This window comes from Homo sapiens, chromosome 20 (genome assembly GCF_000001405.40).
Source record: "Homo sapiens chromosome 20, GRCh38.p14 Primary Assembly".
In the NCBI taxonomy this organism is placed as follows: Eukaryota; Metazoa; Chordata; class Mammalia; order Primates; family Hominidae; genus Homo; species Homo sapiens.
In genome coordinates, this window is record NC_000020.11 from 40,579,730 (window position 1) to 40,600,110 (window position 20,381).

The 20,381-nt window shown below is 42.3% G+C and overlaps 2 long non-coding RNA genes across 3 annotated transcripts in view; one reads left to right on the plus strand and one right to left on the minus strand.

The window, feature by feature from the left end:
• The window catches only part of LOC102724968 (uncharacterized), a 75,521-nt gene that overhangs the window by 11,160 nt on the left and 43,980 nt on the right, over positions 1 to 20,381 (minus strand). For both annotated transcript variants that reach the window (XR_001754596.2, XR_001754597.1), the window contains one exon: positions 18,119 to 18,209. This is a non-coding gene — a long non-coding RNA (uncharacterized LOC102724968). The remainder of the gene's footprint in view (positions 1 to 18,118; positions 18,210 to 20,381) is intronic.
• LOC107985435 (uncharacterized) lies at positions 4,959 to 10,749 on the plus strand. The gene is made up of 3 exons (XR_001754598.2): positions 4,959 to 5,083; positions 7,759 to 7,833; positions 10,650 to 10,749. It is a non-coding gene; the product is annotated as an uncharacterized LOC107985435 (long non-coding RNA).

Here is a 20,381-nt window from a genome sequence, read left to right on the forward strand (position 1 = left end):
TCACTCTCTTTACTGAAGACTTGATTAGCTCTTTACTGCTGCCAAATTCTACCTATCAAAGCCTTTCTACTTTCTACTCCAGATATTCCACCTTCATCACCACCGCCAAATCACTACTGTGGCACCTAAACTATGTTCTGGGCAGAGTGAACTATTTAGCTTTTCTTAAACAAATCATGGCTTTTCATGCATTTGAAAATGCAACTCAAACTTACAGGAATGTTTCCCAAGACCTAGATATCTGTTATCAGTTAAAGCTAGACTGCAAACTCACCTGCATGCCTAGAGGACTATCTACTTGTACATCTTTCTATCTCTGTTATTGGATATCCCCAAAGATAACACAAACCATTTATTGTTCAATGACTTTGTTGGTGAAAACAACAACGATGATGCTAAAAGATAAATCAAGCATACAGATTGCTTAATGGAAAAAGTTATTTATAGTCAGCCTTCTGTATCCAAGAGTCCCATATCCACAGATTCAACGAACCTCTGACCAAAAATATTTGAAAATTAATTAATTAAAAATAACAAGACATCAATAAAAATGACACAAATAGAAAAACAACATAGTGTAACAACTATTTTGTACTTAACATTGTATTAAGTATTATAAGTAATCTAGAGATGATTTATAGTATACAGGAGGATGCGGGCAGCTTATATGCAAATAGCTACACCATTTTATGTAAGAAATTTGAGCATCCTCAGATTTGACATCTGAAAGGGATCCTGGAACCATTCCCCCATGGATACCAAGGGACAACTCCCTACTCACCCTTGTTAGTTCTGGAAAATAGTTACAGTGGTACTAGGGCAAGCAATTGATGACAGAATTATAGAGTCCTTCTGGGCGTAAGACATTTGTTATTCATCTGAGCCCATAGATGAAAACTTGAGAGCCACTGACCGCCACTATCATCTGGAACCAGCCCTCAGTACCTCTCCAGTGGGCAACTGCAACATCCTTCTCACTGGACTCCTCACTTCTACTCTTCACCTTTCAACAATCCGTTCTACACATGGTAACTAGAGTGATCCTTTTAGGTAACAAATCAGGGCAGATCACCTTCATGCTCTAAAACCTGCAGTACTTCCCCAATGCACTGAGAGCAAACTCTTCCATAGCCTACAAAGTCCTACACAATCTGCCCCTGTGGCCTCCACAGTCTCATCTATCACTCTCCCCGTCACTTGCTGAACCAACACCCTGGACTTCTTTCTATTCCTCAAAAATGCATTCACAGGACCCACACGTGGCTGATCCCACAGCTGCCCCCAATCACCATCTGGACTTTTGCATAACTGTCTGGCTCCACCAGGTCCCCCTCAAATGTGACCCCTCAGAGAGCCCTTCCCCAATGTCATTGAAAACTAACACTGTTTGCAAGTTTGTTTCCTTGACTATTGCCTACCTCCCCAACTGGAGTGCAATCTCCATGAGACCTGAGACCCAAGCTTACTCTCTGTACATCTTCAACATCCAAAACAGTATACTCAATAAAAGTTGGCTAAAGGAATCAATAAACAAATGAACGACACTACTAACAATTATGAAAGAAAGATAGGTAAGTACTTAATCAGAATAAAGATAAATGCCACCTCTAACTCAATAGAACCCGCCTACCACCTCTACACAGGTGAGAGAAACCCCTCCCAGCTCCAGGCTCAGAGGCCTCTCGAGAGAATATGTTGTCTTAGGGCTCAGGTGAAGCCCTTTCAAGCTGGCTTTTCATTATATCTCTTTAACCACGGTGATAAGTAGAGCCAGGTTCCCCTCTTATTGGTAGGACCAAATTTTCTCACTCAAAAACTTTACTATGAAAGAAATGGAACTCAGGTGCCTTAACTATGGCCTGATCAAAACTTGACAACAAAGAAATAAAGCAGCTTAAATGAGTTCTGGAATTGGCTCTCTAAAGACCCCAGCATGGGAGAGATGCACACATATATCTAATGCCCACCAGCAGCTACACTTGCATGTCCCACAGGGTCTGAGACTCACTGGGTACAAGGCAGGTTCATTATCTGGGTACAAGGCAGGTTCATTATCTTCCTCCCTACACCCACCCAACTTCTCCCTTTGTCAGTGTCACTGATGTCTCTGAGTAGCCAACATCTTCCAGTTACCAAACCAGAAACCTAGAAGTCTCCGTGGACAATTCCCTTTGCCTCAAGTCCCACATCCTCCTCATCCTCCCCTCTAAGCCCATGTTCTGGTTCCCATCTCCATACTCCCACTGTGTCCAAACAGTCATTATTGTCTGCCCCCTAGACAATCACATTTGTCTCATTGCTGGTCTCCCCACATCTACTCAGACATCCTTCATTCTCCCCGCAGCAGCCAGAACAATATTTTAAAAACTAATAATAAGCATGTCCTACAGCTTCTTAAGTGCCTGCTATGCCTTCCATTTTTCTTAGAATAGAGGGTAAACCCTCACCTTAGCCTGTAAAGCCCCATATAGTCTACCACTGCCCATCTGTTCAGCCTGGCTCACACTCTGTGGTCCTCCAACTTCCATGTCCTCACCCTAAGGGCCTCCTTTTAGTTCTAATTCTCTTTTTTAGTTCCAACTCTCTTTACAAAGACTTTGCACATACTGGTTACTTTGTATGAAACCATCTCCCACTACCAACCATGAGCCACCTTCTTGTCCATTCTTCAGATCCCTGCTCAGTTTTACTTCCATGGGAAAGTCTTCCCTGGCCATCCGGTCTAGGACAAGTCTCCAAAGAATGATAGTTTTTCCTTTAAAACACTTATATCTGTTTATAATTATGGATTCTTGGCATAACTATATGACTATAAACTCCAGAGGGCAGAGACTTGTCTCCCTTTGTGCTGCTTTGTATGCCCAATGCTTAGCACAGTACCTGGCACAGGATAGATGCTGAAAACAATGAACGAGTGAATGCATGAATGAATCAAGGAACTAGGAACAGCTATTCTGTGGAGTTCAGCTCACCCTCCAGCAGCTGGCCAAAGTCCCATATTTAGCAATCCTCATGAGAGATGGGAGGGGTAGATAAGCTAGGAGTGAAAAGTGGAAGAAATAAACTGAGTCGTTGAAAGATTAAGAACCCCATGCTGAATCTGCCCTTGTTTCCATGTAACTTGCAAGAACCCACTGTAATTTACATATTTCTGCACGAACATAGCGTGTAACTGACTCCCAATCCCTTCTAGATGGATGACACATTTACTGTCTCTCTTTGGGAATTTTATGTTGCATCCTGGATTCCTTAGAAATTGGCGGAGAGAGGTGGGAAGCAAGGATAGGTAAAACAAACGGGGTTTGCCATTGTCAATATGCCAAAGAGAAGAGACCTGGTAAGATCTAAGGGATGTTCCCAGACACTCACTTTAATCATCATTCCTATGAACACACACACACACACACACACACACACACACACACACACTATTGCTATGAGAAAGAAGCAAATCATTCAGACCACTAAAGCAAATGGTCCTGAATTACCTATCAGCCAGCTGATATAGTGGCAGTTTTCACCACATACCAGGCACCCTGCTAGGTGCTGAGAATGCAACAGAGAACGGGCCTCTAGGCCCAGAGCCTGTGCCCATGGACTACAGAGTGGTGGGGGCTGTAACTTTGAACAGGCTCACACTGTGGTGTAAACAAAGCTGAGATGGAAGTGCAGGGGCCAGGGCAGCACAGAGAAGGGGCACCTGACCTGGCCTTGGAGGTCAGCCACGACGTGCCAGAGGAACTGAGAGCAAAGCTGCATCGCAATAACCCCTCCGAGCCTCGACTTCCTCATATGTAAAGTGGAGACAGTGAGTCCCACTTCCCAAGGGGCTTAAGAGTATCTGATTCAAAATCATAATCGCTGGCTAATACTTAATGATCACCTATTTTGTACCAGCCATTGGGCTAAGCACATCTTGTGCATTAGCTCATCAACTCTTCATCACAACTCTAGAAAGTAGATACAAATATCCCCACGTTACCAATGAATAAACTAAGGTTTAGGGAGATGAAGACACCTACCCAAGTCGCTGGCAACCCGGGTCTGCCTGACAACACGCTTTGAGGCACAGCACTTCACCACCTCCCTTATGTAATCATGACAAGTTCTCAGCCCAAAATAAACCTTTAGTGAATTTCAGTTTCTTTTCTCCCTTCGTCCCCTCCTCTCCTTTCTCCATAGAGGAAACAAAACAACAAAGATCCCAGAGTGCTGTGACTCGAGCCGGTTTCCCTGGATTTCATGAAGCCACTTTTTCTGTATAAATATAGTCTTTGAAAGGACCTAGAAGGGGAAATCAGAATATTGAGAATTATTCCCACCTTAATAATAATAAGTCAAATTGGTGAGTCCAACTGAGGCCTCAACCTTAACCCAGGGGAGGTCCTGGGGCAGATGGCTCTAGGCTCTGCTTCCTCTGGGGCTGGAGGTTACTAAGTTTAAAGCCTGGTTGCCAACAGATCTCAACAATGAAGTCCAGAAATTAGTAAAGCCTACAAAGTGCTCAGAACACAACCTCCCTGCAGTCCCCCATGGCTTGTGTTCTATAAGATGCAGATCCAGCTGCTGCTCTGCTGGCCCATCCTGAGGACTTGGCACCATCCCACCCAGGAATGTATCACTTCACTGGCCCAGCCCTGCCTTCCCCTCTTCCACCCATGCCCAGCTCATTCACTGTATTTCAAGGCTTGACCTCATAGAAAATGTATGTATTCACCCATTTTATTTATTCTTTCACTCATTATCAGGGTCCTACTATCATGCATGCATTTGTGGATTCCCCATTGTGCTGATATTCTGAGTACGTTTGCAGATAAAATTGGAGGAGGAGATCTGCCTCCTGGCCAGTTGCCGCATTGCTCACTTGACTGAGAGCATGTGTCTCCAGCTGTCAGTCAGGCTCCTCCCTGCGCTTGATTCCAAAGCTGCAGAGGTCAGAGTTATAGGACTGGGAGGCTTAAGACACTGGGATGGTGGCCCTGCCTTCTCCAGCTCAGCTCAGCTCAGCTCAGCTAAGAACAATCAAGGTCAGGTCAGCTCCCAGATCAACCCAAGGACCCTTGGGAGACTCTGCCCCCAACAGGTAAGGGCTCAGAGAACATTGCTTGTTCTCTTGCACAGGCAGCAAGGCTGGGTAGTTACTGGGCTAAAGGGAGCCCTGGACTCCTGAGATACCTCTAAGAATCAATCCCCAGACCATACTCTTTGTCCTGACCTACATGCTCAGTTGACCTGACCTTTTAGTCTCCAGCAAAGTAATGGTGTGCACATGGAGTCAGCCAAACTTGGGACCATAGCCTAACTCTGTCATCTTCTAGTTTGGTGAATTTGGACAAATCGCTTTATGCATCTAATCCTCAGTTTCCCCATCTGTAAAATAGGGATGGTAATAATAATTGTAGTACCTGCTTCACAGGCTTAGTTTGATGATTAAATGAAATAATCACACAAAGAGAGTTTTACCCAAAGTTTCTCAACTTCAAAACTATTGACATTTCAGTCCAGATAATTTTTGGTTGTATGGAGTATCCTGTGCTTTGTAGGACACTTAGCAGGATCTCTGGCCCCTATCTTCTATAGGCCAGCAGCCCACCTCCTGCTCAGTTGTGACAACTCAGTGTCTCCAGATATTTCTCAAAATCTCCTGACATCAGCCCTGCTTGAGAACCACTGGTTAACCTAATGCCAGAAAAATAACAAGTTCAATTAATGTTAGCTATTATTATTATTGCCCACTGGAACCCAGTCTGCTTGGATGGTCTCTGGCCCTGTCCAGCCCTCACCAGCTCCATAGCCTAAGGCTTATCCTCAACCACAATTTTCTATGTACTAGGAGGACCCTGATTCAAGGTATTTGGAATTATGGCACAGTCAATAGCCTGACAATGACTAGAAATGTATCTATGCCATACAAGATCTGTCTCCCTGGGAATATAAAGGAAAGAATTGGAGGAGGACAGGAGAATCAGGGAGACAGTTTCCCAAAGCAATTTAGGGCTCAGAAAGAGAATGAAAATTGGTGTTGAAAGTACTAAAGAGCATAAGGAAAATGATAGCATTCAACCAATGTAATAAGACATAAAAGAAATAGAGATGATAATATACTATTGGTACTGTCAACATGGCACTCAGAACCCATGATGGTAGATGTGTTCTGAAGACCAAATGTGTTTATGGATGTAAAAGTGCCTAGCCCATGACCTGGCAAATTGTAGACCCTCAATAAAGGTCATATAAAACTATCATTCAGGTTGACATTTTTTGTCAGGGAGAATACTGGACCAGATGGAATTGGCTCAGCATTCTACGTCAGAGGTGGGAGCGATCATTGAGACAATGTGACCCAGCTCCTTCATTTTACAGCTGAAGACATTTACATGGAGAGAGGAGAAGTAGATTGGGAAAAATCACACAGTATGTAAATGCCAAAAACTAAAATTAGAACTAGGTTTTCCAGACTCTACAGGTGGCTACAGTGCACATAGATATACACACGTAGATGGCTCTGTCCTAAGACCAGCACACTTGAGTTACCTGAGAGTCAGACTCAGCAGCTGAATAAAATCATGAGCAGGTGCATCTGAGTAATGTGGTATTGTGCTACTCCCTGCCTTCTGGCCTTGGCATCCCCCAAACAGTCATCCTAACCCTCTTGACTCTGCTACCCTGTGTTCCTGGCCTCGCTTCCATTTTTATGCCTCTTTCTTCTCTCTACTCTCCTCTCCAAAAAACCCTGTATCAGACTCATCTGATCCCATGAGAGTAGCCAGATTCCTCCTCATTTGGTTTAGCATCTCCTTCCTGACAACAACTAACTTGCACTGGATATGTACTATGTGCTAAGAATTGAATATGCATTACCTATCTATATAATAACAGTCACTACTATTATCTCCATTTTATAGATAATGAAACTAAGCCTCAGTTTCATGTACAGGAAAGGAGAGGCAGAGTGTTAATAAGTAGAATTAAAAGAGACTAACATATCAAAACACTAACTAGGGGGAAACATGATTTTCCTAGAGTAATAGGTAGATGTGGTTGAATTTCTAAAGAGAATGAACTAGTTTAGTCTGAAGTCCAGGGGGAAGTGGCAGCTGGCGAAGTCTCCCAGAATTGTGTTTTTCCTTCATGTCTGGTAAATATGGGATCACCAAGTGGATGGGGAATGGGAGGGTAGTGATGCTGGGCTTCTTGGTCAATGGGATTCACAGCCATGCAATGACATCTCCCTCTCTGCGGCCTCCAGTCCACCCAGAGGTCTGTATAGCCAGACTCTCATTTGTCCTCACCTGTTTCCTAAATCACAGGTGGGGTAGGGACTACAGGGCTCCATCTGTCTTGACGCCCGACCTCCAGCTCCTGATCCACTTCCGACTAATCCATCTGTGGAGCCATCCAAGACTATGACCCACTTCCCACAGTGCTCCTCCCCAGACAAGCTTCCCTGTGGACGGTCTTGTGCCCTAGTGTTCCTGCAGCCTGCGGGCACAAGCACCGCCTGTTCTGGACAGCTCCGCCCAGCCCAGCCCTCACCTGGGTGTTGTCCTGGACTCCACCCTCCCCTTCCCCATCTCAGCCCAAGACTTCTGGCTCCATCTGCTCTGGCCTAGAAATGTCTCTCTCACTTGGGCCTTTGTAACAGCTGCTTTTCTCAATCAAATTTCTTGTCCCTGATATACTTACCTCTCAAAAATGCAAATATGTTAATATCAGGTTATTGCTTAAACACCTGCTGTGTATTCCCATTTCTTCTAGGATAAAACCCAAGCCCCATGGATTGAGGGTCCCACCCTGAAGCTGAATCTATCAGACTAGGATTTCTTCTGCCAGGTGAGTCTAGGGAAGATGATGTTGCTTAAAGTCAAACACTAGGGCTTTGAGACATTTGGCCTTATGCTCAGCAACCTTTAGATGGTAGAATCTTACATCTAAAAACGACCCTAAATCAACCTGTCCCCATGCACACTAGCTCTTTTCCTGATCGCCACCAGTGACGAGGCACTCACGATGTAGTGAGACAGCCCATTCTGCTGTGTAAAGAACTTTCTTATCACAGGATCCTAGACTCTCAGATTTGTAACACACTCAGAAGGTGTTATTCTTCCACCCAGTGGAAACACTTCTCTGCAATAAATGAGCAAATAACCTGATCAATTTTCTTGAAATATCCACACTGTGATGTAATTGTGTTCTGGAATCCAAATGCAGGCTTTTGCCTCTTTCCCACATAAATATCTTCCACCATAAAAAATATGTTTGGTTTCTGGATTATACCAATGTGGTACTCCTCTCAGTTGTTTTCCAGTCAGAAGTTTCACCCACTTGCCCAAGGGTGCAGACTCTAGAGACAGTTACAGATAGTCTAAGTTAAAATATCATCTCTGCCATTTGCAAGCTGTGGAAACTTGGTTGAGTTACCTAATTTCTTTAAACCTCAGATTCCCCATCTGTAAAGATGATACCTACCTCCTTTAGCTATTATGGGGACTAAATAAGATATTATATAAGCTGCTAAGCACAGCATCTGGCACATATAAGTGATCAATAAATGTTATTTTTTATTATTTAAAGTGAAACTTTTCTCTATGATGTCAGTGATGGCTTTCGAACATTTTTTCCTAGAATCCCAATATTCAAAATAGATGCAGTATGGCTCTGATGGCAGCATGGGCGGGCATCCCAGGGTCCCATTGCCTCTGCCTTTCCTGTCCCTATTTCCTCTTCTTCATGGCACCCCTGTGCCATGAAGGGGTGAGACACCCCTATGGAACCTTAGGACTCTTCCCAGTATAGTTTGAAAATAAATGAGATATAAATAAATAAATAAAATGTCATACCAGGAAAAGGCAATTGCAGAAACACAGGAATATGTATTACTTTCCTATTGCTTCTGTCACAAACTTAATGGCTTAAAAATACACAAATTATTATCTTACAGTTTTGTAGATCAGATGCTCAATGAAGATCTCACTAGGCTAAAATCCAGGTGTCAGCAGGGCTGTGTTCCTTCTGGAGGCTCTAGGGGAGATCTCTTTTCTTGTTTTATTCAAGTCCTAGAAGCTACCCACATTCCTTGGCTCACAGCCCCGTTCCTCCATCTTCAAAACCAGTAATACGGCATGTCTCAGACCCCCCTCGCCAACTCTCTCTTCCACCTCCTTCTCCTACTTATAAGGACCCATGTAATTATATTGGTCCCACCCAGATAATCCAGAATAAGTTCCCTATTTTAAGGACAGCTGGTTAACACATTAATTCCATCGGCAACCTAATTCCCCTTCTTGTGTAACCTTACATAACACATTCACATTTCTGAGGATTAGGACAAAGACGTCTTTGGAGAATCTTTCTGCCTGCCATAGCAGTCACTAGAGAGGTCCTTAGAGACCAGCCTGGAAAAATTACTCAACATTTGGAGACATAAACGTCCTATTCACCTCGCTACAATAGTTTGCAGCCCACTATTCTTCATCTTGTTCTTAATTTTAACATGAGGATCTTTGACAAATCTTGCTACAGTCAAGATACTCTGTCTGGCATTACCCAGACTTACCAGATATGACCATCCTTTCAGGGAGATTTGTTGCAAGCAACAGAAAATGACTGGCTAGTTTAGGCATAGAAGGCATTTGATAAAAGGTTATTTTGAACCTTGCAAAGCCTCTGGAGGGATGGAGAACCAGTGAGAGATCAGGCAGCCAAGAACAGCCCCCCAAGTTATATGGTAGAACCCATCTGGGCAGAAATTGTTGCTAGTGTCCCTCAAAACCCACTGGCATAGACAGAGGATTCTGCCTTGAGTGTTGCTACTACCATCACCCCTAGAAATTCAATTGATAGGTTTGATTCTTCACCTACAGTCACTGCTCTTTGGCATTTCTTAAACCCAACTTGAAGTCATAGGTGGCTGCCTCTATGTTATGTCTTTGTGGTTTCCCTGTCAGTCTTATTTGAAAAACTTGGAGGGAGAGGTACGTCAGAAGAGGACTGAAAATTCTACATGTTCCATTTCCCAGCCTCTCTGGCCAGAGAACTCTGGCAGATGCTCTGAAACCTTGAACACCTGCCAGAGTCCTGCCAGAGAGGCTGGGAAATGGAGCACGTGACATTTTCTGTTTTATGGTAAAAGATGGGCTCCACATCTCACCAAGATCCATTAAGGGGCAAGTTCCCCTATATAAGTCCAAATGGTGGAGACATAATTATGATAATAGCAAATATCTACAGCACCAGCCTAGGAAGCTTATTTTTTAAAAGAGAAATAAGGACATTTTGGAATTACTAGTTCTTGGTGAATCTATCATGGCTCTTATTCCTACTGATCCCTACTTCTCTTTCTAAATACACATAACCCATATACCACTTAAGTAATCATTTCTAGTTCTTTGCCAGAAACTGGCCTGAACCCACAATTTCTAGAATCCAGGTTTTAAAGATCAAGATAAGACATGCCCATCCCTAGTCTTCTGGCATCCCTCTCCCTCCCCATTTTTCAAATAAGGCTGACAGGGATTCCACAAAGAATTGTGCAAGTCTTTTCAGAACCCTGGGCTATAATTCATATAGAACTGAAGAGCTGAATTAATTAAGAGCAGTGAGGTGTTTGCATCTCTCCTATCTCTTATCTTGAGTTTCAATCTTTCCAGATTAAAGGCCATTTGCCTTGATGAATTGAGCAGCTTGGTGATCTCTCTGATTACTCTCAACATTACACCGTCATGCCCATGCTGTGGACTCTCCTGTTCCCACGATGTATCTCCAAACAGTGCAATAAAAATCCTTATTTTTATTTTTAGTGGTTTTTCAAAAGCCTTCACTCTTCTTGAGCCTAGGCTTTCTGACATGATTCTTATAAACATGGGTCATTTCTCCTGGGGTTTTGCTGTATTCGCTTTCTTAATATTTGTGTCTGTAACACCCACACCCATCAGAGATGATGCTATGGAGTCACATTGCTTTCTAGTTCACTCATCTCTGGACTATACAATGGAAGGAACATGGATGTTGAGATCAGATTTAGAGTACTTGAATCCTACCTATATCTCTTACTAGCAGTGTGAGCCTTATCTCTAAAATTAAGGTAATAATTCCTGCTCACTCTTACAGAGCTTCACAACTGGATATCTTTGCGGCAGTACCTTGTGGGCATGCTTTTATTGAGGTTTTCTTGGGTTTTTTCCCTTTAGTAAACATACAGTTTTACCCGTTTGTCGAAACTCCTGTTTTCACATCCCTTAAAAGCAGATGGACAGAAAGCTACCAAATTTAGAGGGTTCTTTGAGATAACCCAACATAAAATACCTGTGTGTGTGACATATATATGAATATATATGTCTTGTATATTTGTTCTGTTTCTCTGGAGAATCCTAATAACATCTCTTTGTGTACTTTATTTTCACATATACTGATTCTGGCTAGTTTTATATGCCCCACTATGAGAAAAAAGTATCAATGCTATATTTACTCATGATGCCATGGCACTTCAGAACCTGTTTGTTCGGGAACAATATATATTTCCATGCCTATGCAGTTCCCTAGTAGCATTTTTTAATGCCAGTTACATCATTACTCACAATGCTGCATCATCTGCTGTGCCACCTATGAATACTGGCTTCCAGTGACTCAAGAAGTTGTTACTAAGCTTCATTGATTAAGACTACAAATGCAAGTCTTACTCAGAATATGTAGGAAAATGTGAATGATAATTCATTTTTCACTTATGTCAAATTTGCCACTCAGAATTTTACACATAGAAAAAATGTATCTTCCAACCATGTCTGGAACTCTCTGGTCTACAATCACTGCATTTTTAGAATGTGATCTCTTTCAGTGTTGACCACATTACTGTCTTTCATTCACAGGCATCAGTGGGAGCACAGGTGGGGGCTTATGGAAGAAGTAAGAAGAGTGGCTTTATTTACACAAGAAATATCTACCCCTTGCCACATGGCTTACGATCAACCCAGAAGGCCACATTACACATCAGATGTGTAATAGGGCATTGCAAAATAGGGCATTGGTGAGAAGGATTCATTGGCCCATCTCAAAAGCCCTTGGAGTAGATAGTCATGGCCACCTCTGGCAGCCATCCTGACATGTATTAAGGAGCCCATTCAGTGGGGTAAGGTGACTGCCTTGGGTGTCAGCAGTGAAAGTTGCACAAAAGTAGGGGAATAGTGGTAAGGAGTGAGGTTTGAGAGGTCAACAGGGGTCATAGATCAGCAGGGTCAAGTAAAAAAAGGGCTGGAAGGATGGGCAACCCAAGCAGCAGGAACTATGTGTGGAAAGGCATGGAGCTTTGAAAGGAGAAGGTGCATCCAGGAAACATCGGTTGCTCCCTTGTGGCTGAAATAACATGCATTTATGGAATGTCATGATAGAAAGTTGGGCACAAGAGCAAACCCAGAGTTCATTAGCTTCATATGTCAAGCAAGAGAATTTGAGCTCTATCTGTAAGTCATGAAGACTTCATGGAATATCTTAAGTAAAAGATAGACATGGCTGGAATTGGGGTTTCAGGAAAAACACTGTGGCAGCAATGGGAAAGTCAAACTGGAAGACAGAGAAACCAAATAGAAAGAGGTTATTTTAATTAACCAGGAGATGATGAGGATTGTCTCTGAACTCGATACCAACTGAACTTGGGAAAGGAGCTGTTGGGCTGGAGAGAACACAGTAGACTCTAACATGTTTCAGGGGCCAAACAGACAGGATGTTGTGATTGATGAATGTAGGAATGAGGATTGGGGAGGAGTCCAGGATGACTCCCAGCTTCTACCCATGGTGCCTGGGTGGAGAGCAGTGTCATTCCTGAAACAGGGAACACAGAAGGAGCAAGTTTGGCAGGAAAGGGGATCAATTCAGGCTGGAACTTGCTGAGTTAAAGGAGCTGCAGGACATAGAACAGGAGGCTCCCAGAAGACAAGGAACAGATTCAAAAGTTGGGAGTGAAGTTTGGCCTCGAGAAAGTCATGGAACCCAGAGAGGATTCTGGAATGAGAAGAGAGCTAAGAGGAAAACCTAAGAAACACTACAATTTAAGAAATGGTTATGGTATAAAACTCAAGAATTGAAATACAGAAGACCCTAGGAGGAAAGTCCATCTTCCAAGTATTGGAAACCACGCCCAATTCCTTGGCCAAGTTTTCACAATCCACTATCCACACACACCCATATTCCCTCTTTTCTTTTCCAATGACAAGTAAAAACACAACCTGCATCCTCACCACATGTACAAAGTCCTCGTACAAAATTTCTCTAGAGCCTAACATGGGTGCCCTCTTGAGTCAACAAGAATGAACACTGCCAGTAAGTTTGTAGAAAGTTGACTTCAAGAACATGACACATGCTCACAGTAGGATATTGCCAAAGGACTGGTCATGAGAGCCAATCAGTCACAGCCACCAGCCCTGAAGGACATGAGTCCAGGAACCTAGAGTTTAGACCTGTAAGCAATTAAGGGTAGAAAGATCTTCAATTTATTTTTCTCTTCCCCATTTTCAGGCAGAGAAACTGATACCCAGAGAATGAAAGGATTTTGTCCAAGGTCAGCAGTGAAACCAGTTGACCAGATCAGTGTGACTAAATTATGTCATGTTGGTTAAAATGTCCTAATGGGCAGCACATTTCTAAAGTTTCTGCCAATGCAACCAGGCACCATGGGCACACTTCAGAAACTAATGAGTCTGCAATTCCTCCAGCTCATTCAGAAGCTCCTGGGATAAGACTCAATCCTGGTAAGGCATGGGAGACTGAAGAAAAGGTAGAAGTTATCACCCTTCATAGGGCTTAATGGACTGTGGTTGTCACATATCCCTCCCTCTCTGAGGCCACTGGGATCTGAATTTGTCCTGGGCAGGGGCTTTGGGGTCATTTAATTATCATACCAAGGGGACCCAACGAGGGAATCCAAACTTGTCTTGAAAAAGTGATTGTCTTCAAAACTAGCCTGTGTCAGAATTTTCCTTCCCAAAAATAGCTGTCCATGGGTTTGCATTTTCACAGCTCTCTTCTAGGCATCGGCTTCTGGTCTGACCTTGGTTCAGGACTTCCCCTTTAGATGGATGGATCCAGATGGGTCTTTCTGAAACCCCCTTTTGACAATATCACTCTCTGCTCGGGAGAACCCAGTGCTCTCCTCCACCTACATGCAACTTAGTAGACATCCTAGCCACAGCCTGAGCCTACAGCTTTTCCAGCCATTGCTTCTTTTTGGTTCCCTCAAGTTCTGTCACTTTGGGTGTCTTCCAGTTCCCTGAGCACAAGAGGTATTTTTAGGCCCCAGTGCCTTTGCACATGTTTCCTGGAATACCGTTTTCCTTGTTATCCACTGAAAGCAACTCCCATGTATTCTTATTTATTTAAATTTTTTGCATCCAGACTTTGAATTCCTCAAAAACAGTAACTGGTGTCATAATCACCTTGTTATCCCCAGCACATAGTTCAGGATTTGTCAACATGTTGGAATGAATGCCTATGAGCCAATCAGACTACTTGCCACAGTCAGGAGGAAGAGGAAGGCTGGAGTAGCTGTGAATAGTACAAGATGAACCTCCTTATGAGTGTGAAAGAGGGGGAGCATCAACAGAGTTACCATGAATTGACACAGTGGCCATGTTTCCACCTGGTGGAGGAATCCATTTTTAACTCAAACCATCCTCGAGAAGTTACTTTTCCTACCAGAGAGGTGGCAGGCTAAGAATAATCCCCTTCATTAATCCCTCCCAACAACTTGAATAATGGATGGACCACAGGGAGTTTAGAAGCCCAGGTTAAGTTTATGAGTTGTAAATGTAGCTCTGGGCACACTGGGTAGGGAGATAGGGGTGGTCCCTCGAACAGAAAGCCAGGGCAACTATTTCCCAGAATAAATTAGAAGCATATCTCCTTATGAATACTGGGGAATGCCATTGATGTTCCATAAAGTAAACTTTGGTCAAAACATAGCAGAAGCTGGAGATTTTCTGCAAACAAACAGTAATGTGAGGCCAGACATGTGTAGGCAAGAAGAGCAAGGTATCTTCAGAAGGAAGTCAGCAGTATTTCCAGGAAGAACCAGAATATAATCCATTCTCTGGGCTGTTTCTAGCCTTGGGTTTTCACCCATAGGGACAGTGAAATGGCAGCTTATATCAGGCTCTTGTATACCCCATACTATATCATGGGTAGTTTTTTCTGTACTAGTGTCCTCAAGTTGTCCACATAGGTTTCTCATTCTAGAACATGAGCTCAGTATTCTCTATTAACATTTTTGTGGTTAAAGTCCTAAATTGCAGTCTCTCCAGCTACTACATAAGGATACCCGACCTGAGTGCCTCTGACCTGACACATGAAAACAAGATTTGGATGCCCACATGGACATTCCTTCATTTAACAAGTATTTGTTGAGTGCCTACTATGCACCAGATACTGGGAGTATAATAATAAACAAGAGACCCTGTGTTCTGGGAGTTGATAGTCTAAGGGGAAAAGGGACACTGACAAGCAGCCAGGGCTTGCAATACAGTCTATGCACAATACTCTGTACTGTGATGGGGCATTAGAGGGGGCCACAGAGACTCTACTTTAGACCAGTAGGGTCAGGAAAGGCTTACTGGAGAAATGATGTCCATGCTGAGACATCCCATTAGACAACGTGAAGGGAAACGGAAAACAAGGCATGCTCCAGGCATATAAGCTAGGCAACTGCATGTGCCAAGACCTGAAGTTGAGAGACAGTGTGGCCTGTTAAGGGAAAATGAGAAGAGCAGGACAAGTCCAAGTATGGGCCCAGCCCAGTTCAGCCCATCTATACATGTGTTACCAAGGAAGAGACCAGAAATTTGGGGGCACAGCTCAGGATCAGCCCCCACCTGATACTCCATTCTCACCTCAATTGTGGATGTGAAGTTTCAGCTTCACCAGGGCTGCAAGGCCAAATGGTCCTTGAACCCCCAAGCCCAGCAGCTCAGAATCTCCCAGGCTTCATGACGTAAGGAAGAGTAAGAGGAAAGTTGCAGCCATGACCCGAGACCCTTCTTTGCCCTGCCTGGTTTCCTGCTCTGTGGTGGCTTCATCTCAGCAAGAAGGTTGCCATCTTGAATGGGAATGGACATTGGGGTGGGATGGGGTGGGTGTTGGGGAGGGAGACCCAAACACCTGTCCAATACAGTCAAAGAAGCTGGTTGTCACCATGTGATCAAAAAAAGAGACAATTGGCTGAATTTCAGTCACATTTTCTGGAGGTTTGTAGACGTCGTAGAGGTTTACAAGCCTCCACAATAGGTAGAGGTATCCGTCTGGGGCAGGTGCCCCAGACAGCCTCCTGGAAGTGATTACTCCACTCAACAGCCAAGAGGCATCTCCTAAGGAATGTGTGTTGTTTCAACCTGGGATTGGAAGAAGGGCAAAGTTCTTGAACAATATTTCATGGTTTACAAACATCTTGAGGTTTACTGAGCACTTGTGCACCAGGCTTCTGCTAGGTATTTTAATATCTAGCATGAAGTTGGCTTCTCATGACAGCCCTACAGGATAAGTAATATATCCCAGCTTTCAGATCAGGAAATTGAGGCCCAGGGAGGTGTAAGAAACTTGCTCAAAATCCACCTTGTTGAGTGACAGAAGGAGAATTTAAATCCTGACCTCCTGCTTCCTCTCACTTCCATCCCTGCATTATCTTATGTCACCATCTCGAGAGCCATGGTAAGGTTGGCAATATTAGTAGTTTCAGATAAAAAAAAGCAAGGCTTGGATAGGTGGCAGAAGGTACCAGAAACAGGTGTTTCCAGCTGATAAGGTTGGGCCCGTCAGCACATTTTCTGAGGCAGCTCCCCTTGCTGAGCACCACCTCCCACAATTTCATTCCAACATTTTAATGAAAAATAAACGTCTGTCCACCCCTACCCTGTGCACTAGGCCAGATCAAGCAATTACACAGTGTTTGTGTGGGAAGAGGACTGGTTCTGAGAGACCAAGCTGATAGGGAGGGGTGATAGCAGAGAAAACCCAGCTGGCTCAGTTGGGTCTTCCCAGGACCCCTCGTGCCCTTCTCCCACTGCCCTTTCCACTCAGAAACCTGCCCCCACTGCCCATCCTGCCTGGGTGAGGCAGGATCCACCACCAGGGTCCAGGCAGGACCCTGGAACTAAGGATTTTACATGCTTTCCAACCCAACTCTAACACAAGGCCATACAGCATAGTGGTGAAGGGCACTACTCACTCACTCTGAACTTGGACAGTGGCTCCATCTCTTAGAACCTGTGTTGTCTTCTGTGAGATGAGGATGATAGTAGCACCCAGCACACAGGGTTAAATGAAAAGAGAGTCTTGCCAGGGACAGTTACATGACAAGTGCTCAGGAAACACTAGTCACTTGTCTCCATTTTTGCTTTTTATTGAAGTATAATGAACATACCAGAAAATGCATAAGTGCATAGCTCACTGTTTTGGACAAATTGAACACACCTGTGGAAGCAGCACCCAATTCAAGAAACAGAATTCTCAGCACTACACCCCGACTATACCTTCTGGTTACTATTTCCTCCCAAGAATAACCCCATCCTTACTTCTTACAGCATAGATAAATTTCACCTGTATTAAAGATGGTACTACTTGAGCAAAGACATGGAATCAACCCAGATGCCCATCAATGATAAACTGGATAAAGAAAATATGGTACATATACTCCAGGAATACCAGGCAGCCATAAAAAGGAATGAAATCATGTTTTTTGCAGCAACATGAAGTTGGAGGCTATAATATTAAGCAAATTAATGCAGGAACAGAAAACCAAATACCACATGTCCTCACTTATAAGTGGAAGCTAAACATTAAGCACATACAGACATATTATAAATATGAGAACAATAGACATTGTGGACTACTAGAGGGTGGAGGGAGCAGGGGGGATGGGGAATTTTTATAAGTATTTATTGGATACTCTGCTCACTACCTGGGTGACGAGATTTGTACTCCAAACCTCAGCATCCCACAATATCCCCAGATAACAAATCTACACATGTATCCTCTATATCTAAAATAAAAGTTGATTTTTAAAAAAAGATGCTACCATTTGTTTTGTTAACTATAATTTAAAATGCACCAGGAATATGCACACATTCTTTGGGTGTGTTACCTTATTTAGTCTTCATCGCAGCCCTCTGATGTAGGTATACTCACATTATCCCCATGTCATAGATGAAGAAACAGGGAACATTCTATGGAATCTGCAAAAATGCAGGTAGAACTGCAAGTAAGTTTAGCAAGATCACAGCATACAAAGTCAAAATACAGAAATCAGTTGCATTTCTAAATACTAGCAACAGACCATTAAAAATTGAAATTTAAAATATTATTTACAAAATATTTATACATACATTTTAAAACCATGAAATACTTAGGGATAAATTTAACAAAATATATATAAAAACTACACAATCAAAATTATAAGGCATAGCTAAAAGAAAATTTTAGAAGATTTAAATAAGTGAAAGTATATACTGTATTCATGGGTTGGAAGACTCAAGATTGTTAAAATATAAATTTATTCCTAACTAACCTATAATTTTAGGGTAATCCCAATCAAAACTCCAGCAGACTTTTAAAAGTAAATTGAAAAATTGATTCTAAAATGTGTGTAAAAAAACAAAGGCCCTAGAAGAGCCAAAACAATTTTGCAAAAGAAGAACATTTTGAGGACTTTCAACACCTGGTTTCAAGACTTCCAGTAAAGCTACTGGAATCTAGGCAGTGGTATTGGCATAAGAATAGAAAAGCTGGGTGCAGTAGCACAGGTCTGTAATCCCAGCTACTCAAGAGGCTGAAGTGGAAGCGTCACTTGAGCCCAGGAGTTTGCGACCAGCCTGGGCAACATAGCAAGACTCCATCTTGCTAAGAAAAAAAAAGAATAGGCATACAGATCAATGAAACACAACAGAGAGTACAGAAATAAACTCACACATATACGGTCCCTTTGGTTTTAGACAAATATGCCAAGTCATCCAATGGGACAGGGATAACTGTTTCTACAAATGGTGTTGGAATAACTGAACATACATATGCATAAAGAATAAGTAAATATAAAAAAGAAGAATCTTGTCCTCTACCTCATGCAACAGATAATAATTAATTCAAATAATTGATCACAGACTTAACTTTAAGAGTTAAGACTGTAAATGTTCTAAAAGTAACAGAAGATCTTTACAAGATTGGGATAGGCAAATATTTCTTATATAGAACCTGAAAAAAGGACCCATTGTAAAAAAATGATAAATTGGTCTTCATCAAAATGCAAAAATGTCTTCTCTTTAAAAGGCACCATTAACATAACAGGCTACATATGGGAAAAAATATTTACAACACATATGCTTGACAAGAGACTTATATCCAGAGTATTTAAAGAACTCTTCCAACTCAATAGTAAAAAGAACAGCCTAAATTTTGTAAGTAGGCAAAATGTTTCTCAAGATACACAAACTGTCAAAGTTCACATTAAAAAATCATTAGTAATCAGGGATTGGAAGTAAAAAGCAAAATGAGATCATATGGTATGTCAATTAGGATGACTAAAATTAAAAAGACTGACAACAAAAAGCGTTGACAAGTAGGTGGAGCAACTGGAACTCTCATACGCTGTGGTGAGAAATACAAAACAGTACAACCACTTTGGAAAAAATTCAGGCAGTTTCTTACAATGTTAAACATATGTCTACTATATAACCTAGTAATCTTACTTGTACCTATTTACCCATGAGAAATGAACACAGATGCCCATACAAACACTTGTGTGCAAATGTTTAGCACAAATTTATTCATAGTAACCAAACACTGGAAACCACACAAATTCCCATCAACTGGTGAACAGACACACAAGTTTTTGTATCATCCATATTAATAGCATCATACTCAGCAATAAAAAGAAGCAAAATACTGTACTGATACATGCCATCACAAGTATAAATCTGAAAAACACCTTACTGAGCAAAATGAGCCAGAATACAAAAGAATAAATCTATATGATTTTATTTATAAGTTCTAGAAAGACTAAGTTTAATCTAAAGTAATAGAAGAAAAATCAGTGGTTGCCTGGGTCCAGTGGTGGGAGATAGGGGTGGGGAATAGGGAGGGAGTCCCTGGGAAGTATCACAAGGAGACATTTAGGAGAGATGGAAATGTTCCATATATTGATTATGATTGTAGTTAGTGTGTTAATGAGTATATCCATTTGTCAAAATTTATTGTATTGGTCATTTAAAATGAGTGCATTTTGTCATGTGATAATTATACCTTAATTATTAATAAAATAATTTAAAAAAAAACAAATAATGAAAGCTATTGGTTTTATTATTATTATTTACTATCTCCCAGGAACTCTGCTAAGCCCTTTATGTGTACCATCT